Source organism: Homo sapiens, chromosome 2, assembly GCF_000001405.40.
Source record: "Homo sapiens chromosome 2, GRCh38.p14 Primary Assembly".
NCBI classification, from domain to species: Eukaryota; Metazoa; Chordata; class Mammalia; order Primates; family Hominidae; genus Homo; species Homo sapiens.
The window spans coordinates 191,007,977-191,018,670 of NC_000002.12; the positions used below are offsets into that span (position 1 = coordinate 191,007,977).

Here is a 10,694-nt window from a genome sequence, read left to right on the forward strand (position 1 = left end):
TCCCGAGACAATGCAAATGATATAAAAACTATACATGACATTCCTCAATGAATGCATCTGTTGGTCTAAGCTTTGAACTAGACCAAAGATATTCATCTAGGGTTTTCTGTTGCCATTGTCAAAGCTAGTTTGCAAAACACTACCAATAGCAATAATGGCTCTTTATACAGGTACATTCATGCAAGGTCTGTATGAGAACAAATTTCTGTAAAGTTAATTTGATTTCCCCACTCGTAAATAAAATCATAAATACATTCACAAAGGAAAAAAAACAACTTCCAATTACCTAAGCTGAAAAGTTCAGTTGTATTGTATGAAAGAAGAAAATGATAGCTTTCACCTCCATTAAAACAGAAAAGTTCTGTTATTACACAACATAAATATGATAGCCACCCCAAGGGCATGCTGGGAGTACATCTGAAGAACCCCTAAAACTCTATAGCATGTTCTCTCATGTCTGGATCTTTCTTTGACTTTCTCTTCCAGGAGAGGCCAACTCCACCAGAAGCAAGGCAAGGTGGAGTCTAGTTCCTGAAGTCACCTGACTTCCTTAGGTGAAAGTCAAACCTTTCCTGTTTTATTCCTCATTTGCATAGCAAGGACCTGAACCTAACCACTAATGTTCCCTGGAGCTTTAATGTATTACTATAGATCATTGCTCTTAAAATGTAGCCCCTTTTCTTTGGTTTAAATATTGACAATTTTTAGTAAAACAAAATTATAGCATCACATTTTTCTCAGGATTACTGATACCTAAGAGGTGATACATTTAACCCTAAAAATTCCTTCTGTGTTTATAAAATAAATTGGTATCTTATTTTACTTATGCTATATTTACTGATGCTGTAGAAAACATAAATGGAGTTAGTCTCTATTACTTCTCTAAATACCAATAAGTGTGTGCTCAATTGTATTTGCTGAATGAAGAAAACTGCCTTCCATAAACATGAGAACATTTCAACTAAAATACAAAAACCAGGTCATACCTGAAGATTACGCTTGCTTTTCCTTATGTTATGCTGTAGCAAGAAGTTATTCTCCAAAGAAAAGCGACTATATTGATCATCCAGCTGTGACAGGAGGTCATGAAAACGGATGGTGGCAAATGAAACATCATTGGCAGCGTGCTCCCTAGGAGATTTAACATTTACACATTTCATTCTAGAACTAAATGTCTATGTAAAACAGACAAAACAAATGTTGGTTTCCTTATTGAAATTATTAAAAATAATTTAAGTATTTTCTTAGGTTTATTTTCTTCTTTTGAAACTGACATTGCTTTTAGCAGCAGTTTATGTGGTATTTCTCTTATGTGCAATTAGCACAAAAAATTCTAAACTCTAAGAGATTGTGCATGACAGTGTTCATGGTGACTATCTCTGAAGGGGGAAAAGTCAACAGGGGACCCTTCACTTTCTATGTCAAATACTTTCAGGACGTTTTTAAATTAGCAAATAATAAATTTTAAAGTAGAACACCTATCAGTTAAAAAAAATCCCCTTAATTTTACTACCTTCTTCATATTTCTAATCAATGTTTAACCATTAATTTGGCTTTATTTCTTTTAAATTACTTCTTTCTATAGTCTGGATCCTAAGTTGGAAAATAATCGGTGTCAGTATTCCGTAACTTGTCCAAAGCATTTAGGAATATCTATCATAAATTAAATTTGGCAAAACTGTATAAAAGTGCTTAATGACTAATATACTTAACTTTGTTGAGACACTTTTTGGCTCAACTTTGTTGAGTCATTTTTTAAATCAACAAACTTTTCTACAACAAATAATTCCAGTGGCCATTGATGGAATTCATCTTCCAGTAAACATGGCCCCAAGTCACTTAATCAACCAGTACTTTTAAGGTGTAAACTTCTTCTTCTGTCTAGTGAATTTTCCTTACCAGTCTTGCTTTTCTAACCACTGTGCCAGGTACTGTCTGATTTCCATGGGAAAACTGTCATCATAAAGCTGGTGAACCTGCTCCAGGAATTTTGAGTCAAGCTGCTGAAGTTCGTACCACTGAGACATCCTATAGGGAAAAAGAATATACATTCTTTCTATGTATATGGAAACCATAGCTCCAAAGAAAGCCTTCCTAGCATCAGGTTGTACTCTTAAATATCTTGCTTAATCCAAAACATAGTTTGTCCCAGGAATATTTTATTTAAATGGCATTTATAGTCTAAAGCCTGTTTTTAATTGAGTTTGGGGATGAACTTTTTTTCTCCTCCACGAAACACATCTTCATGTCTTTGCTTATTGTCAACATATCAGGGCAGCCTTCTCTGGCCTCTTTTATTTAAACTGCAACCACCTCCCACCCTGGAAACATGCTCTCTCTTTTCCCTGGTTTATTTTTCTTCATAGTACTTACACCACCATCTGACCTACCACATATTTTATTTTCATTATTGTCTGTTTTCACCACTTGAAGGGATGGATGTTGGTGGAGGATTCTGTGCACTGGTGTATCCCTAGAACAATGTCAACCACATAGTAGGTATCCAATAAATATGCCTTTAAAATGAGTTTGTGATTTTATCAAATAAATACATGAAAAACATTATTTTAATTAGACTTGCTTTAAGACAAATCACAAGACTCTCCCAAAATTGCTCTCCTACAAATCACAGTACATTTGTAATTTAACTCAAATATTTTCAAACTTCTGTTTTATATTTATGATTCATATGGTAAAATTCATTATTTTTCTTATACACATTTAAAAAGATATATTTTCTTCTTTGCCTACTACAAACAATAAATCTGGCATAAAGAAGTAATGATTTTTAAAGATTAAAACATCATTAAATGTAATTTAAAAGGATAAAGTAACACTTAGCTTTTTGGATAACTGTTAAGTCCATTTTTACATAGTGATCCTAAAGATTCAAAATCACAACAAAAACTTGATATAAGCAAGTCCTAAAATTCATTAGGAAAACGGAGAGTCTCCCATGACCATCATGTAACTTAGGATTTATATCAGCACACAGGTGGCAATATGCAGAGCAGACACAAGTGAATCTTGTCCTGCCAGACCTCTGGGGAAGGAGTCTGGATTTTCAAGTAGGGCATGGAAGAGTGTGTATGCATACTTGTAGCCGAGCACATGTATGCAGGCATGAGGTCACGCCTACTCCACAAATGTCCTTCCAAAGGAGTGTGAGGAAATGTCTGGCCTATAAAGCTAGTTATCCTCATATATACCAGTAGAAACGGACCCAAGCCCAGCCCCTTGGCACTCCTGCTGAAGCAATTTGATTTTTCAGTTCAGTTTTATTTTACCTGAGTGGAAAAATCTGTGGCTGTCTCCCTCCCTGCTTGGTAACTAATAAGGATCTACCTAAAGCAGATATGCTGGACCGTCAGGCAATGGGAGCTGCAACGCCTCTTATTAGCCAAGCGAACCCAGGTAACTTACTCCCCTATCAACAAGGTGTGTGTGTGTGTGTTTAGTAGACAGGAACTTGCTCTGTCATCCAGGTTGGAGCGCAGTGGCAGTGGAGCGCAGTTCACTGCAGCCTCCAACCCCTGGACTAGAGCAATCCTCCCACCTCAGCCTCCCAAGGAGCTCAGACTGCAAGTGATATGGTTTGGCTCTATGCCCCCACCCAAATCTTACCTCGAATTGTAATATAATTCCCATGTGTTAAGGGCGGGACCAGTGGAGGTAACTGAATCATGGGGGCAGTCTCCCCCATGCTGTTCTCGTGATAATGAGTGAGCCTCATGACATCTGATGGTTTTATAAGCCACTGGCATTTCCCCTGCTTGCATCTATTCTCTCTCCTGCTGCCCCGTGAAGAGATGCCTTCTGCCATGCAGAACTGTGAGTCAATTAAACCTCTTCACTTTATAAATTACCTAGTCTCGGGCAGTTCTTTATAGCAGCATGAGAACAGACTAATACAATAAACACGAGCCAAGAAGCCTGGCTAATTTTTAAATTTTCTGTAGAGACAGCCTCTCGTTATGTTTCTGAGGCTGGTCTCAAACACCTGACCTCAGGCAATCCTTCCACCTCAGCCTCCCAAAGTGCTGGGATTACAGGCGTGAGCTTCCGCACCCTGCCACAGTTGGTTCTTAAGGCTGGTTGAGCTAGTACATATGTAGCACCTGGCACAGAAGAGGTGAATTAATAAGCTCATGTTTGGGCTGGCCAGGTGGCTCACGCCTGTAATCCCAGCACTTTCGGAGGCCAAGGTGGGCGGATTGCCTGAGCTCCGGAGTTCAAGACCAGCCTGGGCAACATGGTGAAACCTTGTCTCTACTAAAATACAAAAAAAAATTAGCAGGGCATGGTGGTGTGCACCTGTAGTCCCAACTACTCGTGAGGCTGAGGCAGGGGAATTGCTTGAACCCAGGAGGCGGAGGTTGCAGTGAGCTGAGATCGCGCCACTGTACTCCAGCCTGGGAGACAGAGAGAGACTCTGTCTCTAAAAAAAAAAAACAATGAATAAATAAGCTCATGTTCACAAATCTGGAGTCAGTCTCATCTACTCACAAAACCTGTTACCAACTCAGGGAGTGGCATGGCCATCTCCCAGTCACTGAGCTCAAATCTCAGATTTAGGGTTGATTCCTTCCACTCCATCCCAAGACCTGCTCCTTCCTGTCTCCAACATTCTACCTTCCCAGTCCAGCCTCTGCTGCCCACAGATTGGACCACATCAATCTCCTGTGCAAAAATCCTATGATCTGTCCATTCCTAGGCAGATTTCCACCCCACCCCATCTTCATCCATCAACAAAGCAACCCAGTCACCAAATCATTTACTGTTTTTCAACTGTGCCCAACATTTCTGCTTTGCTCCAGCTACTCGCCCTTGGAAACAGCCTCTCCACAAATTTTTGCGTCTCTAAATCCTATAGCATTCAAAGCTATGTACAAAAGCCCCTTCTTTCATAAAGTTGTCTGAGACTTACTCACAATTAAGCTTTCTTTGACTTGCGTCTCACTGAATTCTGTACCTCTATTAGAGCATCGGTTCCAGTTTTCCTTGTAAAGCTCTGTGATGCCTCCAGAGTCCCCGGCGGGGGAAGGTGGGTGGGGAGGGGGTAGAGTAGTGGGGTATTTTGCTTTTTAACATCTTATGGACCTTGGACAGTGCCCTGCATATACTATGTGCTCGAAACAGTTTGTTGAATTGAAATTATGTATATTTCAGACGGAATTAGAAAGTAAAAAGCAAACCATATTATGATCTCACAAGTGTGAGTCCAGCATCCTCATTAAGCAATGGTTGCACAATGGACTGTGCTGGAGGCTCAAGTCCTGTTTCTGTTCTATGAAAATAACTCCTTATCTATACAAACAACATTCAAAGCACAATCAACCACACCTCTGCATACCTACCACAGAACTCTTCAGTACCGGCCAGAAATTTTTTTAAGACTATATTATTTTGGGGTGGGGGGTCTGCAAAAACTAAACATCACTTTTAAACTCTAGGAAGACATTAAGCCCTTCCATCTTTGAACATAGAAACATAATTAAGATTCCGAAGTCATGTACTCATTCATCTGATTCCATGAACATTTACTGACCTGCCACCTTGTGCCCCAACAAGGGCCTGGGGATTCAACCAAAGGAGCAGCTACGCACAGCACGTTAGGTGCCAAGACTGTCGAGGTTATATACACAGAGTGCGAACGTTAACCTAGACAGCTCTCGAGGATGGCATACAGCAAATGAAACTTTCTGCGAAAAGAAGAAAACGTGACTGATGGAAAGGGGTGGAAACGGGAGAAAGTGACGGTAAATGGGAAGGTGCAGTGCCTTCTAGAGGAAAATTATATTTCACAAGTCCTCTTCACTGCCAGAGCACGACTGGCAAGGACAATCGTGCTGAGCAGTGCCATCTCCGAGAACAGGTGGCACTGCTCGCACTTGGAATACTCAGGACGCGTTCTTCCTCTGGGATCACTATTCGCGGGTCAGCACAGACGGCCCGTCCTCGCCCGGCGTCCAACTGCACGGCCCGAGGACTCTGTCCCTGCGCGTCCCACCCCCGGCACCCGGAACCTCACGGCCACTCACTCTGCGCGCAGGATCCGGAAGGGCTAGGCGGGGGCGCGGCGGTGCAGCCTCTCCCGAGCGCGCTGGGTCGCCTCTGCTCGGTCTGGGGTCTGCCAGGCGCGATCCCCCCGGTGCAGCCGAGCCCCTCCGCAGACTCTGCGCAGGAAAGCGAAACTACCCGGCAGGAGAAAAGGCAGCGCTGGCGCCCGGCCCCCTTCCGCCCCCACCAATCACCGGGCGGCTCCGCGCTCAGCCAATTAGACGCGGCTGTTCCGTGGGCGCCACCGCCTCCCTCTGCGGGCCGCTGCTCCGCCCACGCGCTGGGGTATTTCCGCCGGCTTCCGGCGGGGGCCGCCGGCTGGGTGAGCTGCAGCCCAGTCCCGTGTTGCCACGCTGGGAACTGGCGTTCTGTTTACATATCTTAGAGAACGATCAGAAGGACGTGCTGTGTTTGCAGAAGCCCAAACTTGGAGGTCTCTGTAGTAGTTTCATCGCCGAGAATCCAGGCAGAGGACAGATTTGGCGACGTCGTCATTCTAGAAGCTCCCTTTAGCAACTGACCTCCGTGTTGCTAAACCCAGGGAACGCTTTTCTGTTTTTCTCACTTTACTTGACAGCTCGGAAGCATGGGGCAGAGTTGACGCCTTTGTTCTTGAAACACGTTTCTTCCTTGGTCATGATGATAACACATCCTTCTTGCTTTTTCCTGCCTCTGGCATTCTTTCTACATTGCCTCCACCTCCACTATCAAACCATTATATGTTAAGGTTGTCAGGGTCCAGACATTCGTCAGCTTCTTTACCTGGGCTTCTCCTAAACGCTGTGCTGTGATGACCTCACCCACAGCTTCAGTTTCCTTCTAGATGGAGGAGTCTTAAATGCTTATCCCGTCCACACCTCTCCTCTGGGCTTCACACCTACAACTCCCACTTGCCTCTCCACTTGTATGTGCAGTGAGCTCTACAAACTATGTTCAGAACCAAACATCTTTCTCCTCAAACCTGCTCTTTTTCTAGAAATGGCACATGACAGATACCTAGGATTCATAGTTGACATTGCCTTCTCCCTCACCTCGCAACACCTGATCCTCAAATCTTAATTGATTCTTCCTCCTAAATATTTCCCAAGTCTCATTTACTCTGCTCCATCTCTTCTGCTGCCTCCTTCTGCAGTAGATTCCCGAATGGCTGCCTCACTTCAGCCCTTATCTACCTTTTAATCCATTCTCCATACAAGAGTTTGAGTGTTTTTTTTTTTAATTGAAAAGCAGATCATGTCATTTGCCAACCTGAAAATCCTTCCATGGCTTTTCTTTGCTCTTATAAAATTCAGTTTCTTAATACATACTATAAAGCCCTGGTTGCCCGATCTCTTTGTCCAACCCCATAATGTGCCACTCTGCTTTGCTTACTTCAGCATTTAGTTCTTCAAATAAACCACACTCTCCAAACTCAGGGACTTCTCACCCTGAGTTTGGAAAACCCCTTGAGCCAACATCTGCTTCACCCAACTCTTCGCTGGCTAACTCATCTTTTAGATCTTAGTTTAAAAATCTCAGCTTAAATGTCACTTCTCCAGGTAGGCATTGCTGAAGCCAGACAAACTAAATCTTTTTGGACTATATGCTCATAAAATCAATTAGTTCCTTCAAGTAGACGGGATTTGAGTCAAGCCTTGAATAATTAGGCACTTTGGGGTAGGAGAAGGATCTGAATAATTTCCCATGGATATGCCTATATGTGTGTGTATGAGTTTTTTTTCTTTGCACATCTATTTGTTCTTCTTGTCACAAATGCACCCTCACAAAGCAAGTTAGCAGTGAAATTAGACTTCTCTGCCAAGAGATGCCACGGCACCAAAAGTGTCCCTTCTGCTCTTACTCACCCAAGAACCAAGACAATGTTTTACTGTTCTCTGAAAAAAGCTGTATTAATCCATTTTTAACGCTGCTAATAAAGACCTGAGACTGGGCAATTTACAAAATAAAGAGGTTTAATGGACTTACAGTTCCACATGGCTGGGGAGGCCTCACAATCATGGCGGGAGGCAAGGAGGAACAAGTCACATCTTTCATTGATGGCGGCAGGCAAAGAGCTTGTGCAGGGAAACTCCCATTTTTAAAATGATCGGATCCTCGAGACTCATTCACTATCACAAAAACAGCGCAGGAAAGTCTCGCCCCCATAATTTAATCACCTCCCACCAGTTTCCTCCCATGACAGGTGGGAATTGTGGGAGTTATCATTCAAGATGAGATTTGGGTGGGGACACAGCCAAACTATATCAAAAGTTGACTCTAGGAAGGGTAGATTACATGTTAAAAATTTTTTTTCTGGTACTATAAAACTTGCACAGATATTAGCTTCAATATTGATGAAGGAATGGAATAATCCTAACATCTGCAAATAGGATTATTTGGCACTCCAAATCCCAATTTGGATCATCAAGATCTGTGGATGCTTCCTTCCCTACCCCCCTTTATTTTAGCATCCACAGCAATACCTACCATAAGCCTTCATCACTTGAGAATTGGAATGCTATGCTAATCTCTAGGTATACTACCTTTTTCTTGTCTCTTTCTCCTTCACTATATTTGCCAAATTCAATTCCTTAAAATACTGCATTGATATAGTCATTCCCTGCTCAAAAGCCTTAACAACTCTCCTTGCACATATGATAAACACAAATGTTGTCTGCTAGTCTGGATCCTCCACAAAATGTTTCTTTCCTTCTTTCCAGCCTTTTCTATCATTGTCGCATTTCCCAACTAACCTCGTCTAGCTCCAGCACTCCCCCCATGCTTTTAATTTCCTGATTTCTGCCCCTTTGTACATACTGAATGGCAAGTCTTGCTCCTCACTCTCTTCACTTACCAAATTCTTATTCACCTGTTAAAGCCCAGCCCAAATACTATATTCTCTTTCTAGAACCACCTCAACCTGTAGCAATTAATCTGGGGTCTCTGAATGACCAAATAATATATGTGTCTCTATTTATTTGGACAATAACTATACACTCTCTAATATTATGGTTTTTGAAGTGTCCAATCCTTATGCCTCCAAGATTCAATATTCCTGAAGGATAAACTATTTATATTTTCTTACTGTATAACATATTGACTGCTTCAAAAAGCAATCAAACCAAAGCCAAACAAAAACCTAGAAATCCAGAATTTGACAGATACAAATGTGTGACGGTTGCCTTATAACAGTCAGCTTGGAAAGCTATATCTATATATCAACAATGTCAGATTTGCAAAAGACACAAAACTAGAAAAAACAGCTAACACTATGTCTGTAGATTGTACTATTTTCAAATCTCTTCTGTCCCTTCCCACTGCTTGCCATGGTTCACTAAGGGTGGAGTATACCTCTCTGTGTGCTGTAACTCTGACCTTGGCTATGTGACTTGTTCTGGATAAAGGAATATGAACAGTTGTGATGTATATACCATCTGTCCTGAAACTGCGTGTTCTTTGTAATCAACTTGTTCTTGTGTGCTCCTTCCCTCTGCTAGGAGACAGCATGCCTCAGGTTCCCACGCTAAATCAAAATTCTAAATAATCTAAATATTCTAACGGACTGCTGCTGGTCTGAAACCAACTGGATACTATGTATGTATGTATATATGTATGTATGTATGTATTGATGACAGAGTCTCGCTCTGTCGCCCAGGCTGGAGTGCATTGGTGCAATCTCGGCTCACTGCAACCACCGCCTCCTGAGTTCAAGCGATTCTCATTCTTTAGCCTCCCAAGTAGCTGGGATTATAGGCCTACATCACCAAACCCGTCAAATTTTTTGTATTTTTAGTAGAGTCAGGGTTTTGCCATGTTGGCCAGACTGGTCTCACACTCCCGGCCTCAGGTGATCTGTCTGCCTTGACCTCCCAAAGTGCTGGGATTACAGGTGTCAACCACTGTGCCTGGCCTCAACTGGATAACTTTTTTTTTTTTTGAGACCAAGTGTCACTCTGTCGCCCAGGCTGGAGTGCAGTGGCGCGATCTTGGCTCACTGCAACCTCCCCCTCCTAGGTTCAAACGATTCTCCTCCCTCAGCCTCCCATCAACTGGACAACATTTAAAACAATAAATGCAACTACTTGTATTGGATTTAAAAGAGCAACAAATGACAGGGTACACTGTCACCAGCAATCAATCAGAAGCAACAGGTAAGGTGAAATTTCCTATTTGCCACCCCTGAACTGGTGTACAGACAAAGGAGAGTCAAGGACAGTGAGGAATCCAGAAAATACTATTATATGATGAGTAACTGATGTGAAGTCACCGGAGTAACTCATAAGTTCACATGATGTTACAGTAGAAAGACTTAAGAACTACTCCACACTTCCCATTTGGAGGAACTGTATTTTGCTTGGAGAAAAGACAGTATCATTCCTATTCTTCACTCACTGTTTCTTTTATACCCAAATCATCCAGTTCTATTTACTTAGTTTATCTGCCTTGTTGCACAAAGCATTTTAAAGCAACTTATAGCAGAAATATCTACAATAACTAGATAAAGAATACAGTACAGCCTGCAAACCAGGGCAAAAAGATATCAGTTACGTAGTTTTCATTATATGAAACTGAAACTAAGAAGGCTCTCCTGATCAATGATTTTCAATAATGGCCAGATTATTCCCTGCTCTGTTATTTCCCCACCTTGCAGCAGA

At 42.1% G+C, this 10,694-nt stretch overlaps 1 protein-coding gene across 15 annotated transcripts in view, besides 10 other annotated features; it reads right to left on the minus strand.

The window, feature by feature from the left end:
• STAT1 (signal transducer and activator of transcription 1) overlaps positions 1-6,195 on the minus strand; it is a 45,023-nt gene extending 38,828 nt beyond the window's left edge. For 11 of the 15 annotated variants that reach the window (NM_001384890.1, NM_001384883.1, NM_001384885.1 and 8 more), the window contains exons 1-4: positions 6,042-6,195; positions 5,549-5,702; positions 1,900-2,028; positions 987-1,131 (exon numbers count right to left, since the gene is read on the minus strand). In NM_001384890.1, coding sequence (NP_001371819.1) covers positions 987-1,131; positions 1,900-2,027 — 273 coding nt within the window. In that variant the 5' untranslated portion in view covers position 2,028; positions 5,549-5,702; positions 6,042-6,195. Of the gene's footprint in view, positions 1-986; positions 1,168-1,899; positions 2,029-2,390; positions 2,474-5,548; positions 5,703-6,041 lie in introns of all 15 variants that reach the window. The other 4 variants (NM_001384884.1, NM_001384881.1, NM_001384891.1 and 1 more) reach the window with 3 other exon arrangements.
• Positions 3,349-3,458: an enhancer, noted in NCBI's record as "active region_16869". NCBI's record gives its function as "activates an Ori minimal core promoter by ATAC-STARR-seq in GM12878 lymphoblastoid cells {active_cell/tissue: GM12878}" and the evidence as "EXISTENCE:reporter gene assay evidence [ECO:0000049][PMID:35858748]".
• Positions 3,759-3,848: an enhancer, noted in NCBI's record as "active region_16870". NCBI's record gives its function as "activates an Ori minimal core promoter by ATAC-STARR-seq in GM12878 lymphoblastoid cells {active_cell/tissue: GM12878}" and the evidence as "EXISTENCE:reporter gene assay evidence [ECO:0000049][PMID:35858748]".
• Positions 4,277-4,336: an enhancer, noted in NCBI's record as "active region_16871". NCBI's record gives its function as "activates an Ori minimal core promoter by ATAC-STARR-seq in GM12878 lymphoblastoid cells {active_cell/tissue: GM12878}" and the evidence as "EXISTENCE:reporter gene assay evidence [ECO:0000049][PMID:35858748]".
• Positions 4,377-4,436: an enhancer, noted in NCBI's record as "active region_16872". NCBI's record gives its function as "activates an Ori minimal core promoter by ATAC-STARR-seq in GM12878 lymphoblastoid cells {active_cell/tissue: GM12878}" and the evidence as "EXISTENCE:reporter gene assay evidence [ECO:0000049][PMID:35858748]".
• Positions 5,548-5,867: an enhancer, noted in NCBI's record as "active region_16873". NCBI's record gives its function as "activates an Ori minimal core promoter by ATAC-STARR-seq in GM12878 lymphoblastoid cells {active_cell/tissue: GM12878}" and the evidence as "EXISTENCE:reporter gene assay evidence [ECO:0000049][PMID:35858748]".
• Positions 5,958-6,157: a silencer, noted in NCBI's record as "silent region_12191". NCBI's record gives its function as "represses an Ori minimal core promoter by ATAC-STARR-seq in GM12878 lymphoblastoid cells {active_cell/tissue: GM12878}" and the evidence as "EXISTENCE:reporter gene assay evidence [ECO:0000049][PMID:35858748]".
• Positions 6,188-6,427: a silencer, noted in NCBI's record as "silent region_12192". NCBI's record gives its function as "represses an Ori minimal core promoter by ATAC-STARR-seq in GM12878 lymphoblastoid cells {active_cell/tissue: GM12878}" and the evidence as "EXISTENCE:reporter gene assay evidence [ECO:0000049][PMID:35858748]".
• Positions 6,478-6,677: an enhancer, noted in NCBI's record as "active region_16874". NCBI's record gives its function as "activates an Ori minimal core promoter by ATAC-STARR-seq in GM12878 lymphoblastoid cells {active_cell/tissue: GM12878}" and the evidence as "EXISTENCE:reporter gene assay evidence [ECO:0000049][PMID:35858748]".
• Positions 6,708-6,787: an enhancer, noted in NCBI's record as "active region_16875". NCBI's record gives its function as "activates an Ori minimal core promoter by ATAC-STARR-seq in GM12878 lymphoblastoid cells {active_cell/tissue: GM12878}" and the evidence as "EXISTENCE:reporter gene assay evidence [ECO:0000049][PMID:35858748]".
• Positions 7,566-7,615: an enhancer, noted in NCBI's record as "active region_16876". NCBI's record gives its function as "activates an Ori minimal core promoter by ATAC-STARR-seq in GM12878 lymphoblastoid cells {active_cell/tissue: GM12878}" and the evidence as "EXISTENCE:reporter gene assay evidence [ECO:0000049][PMID:35858748]".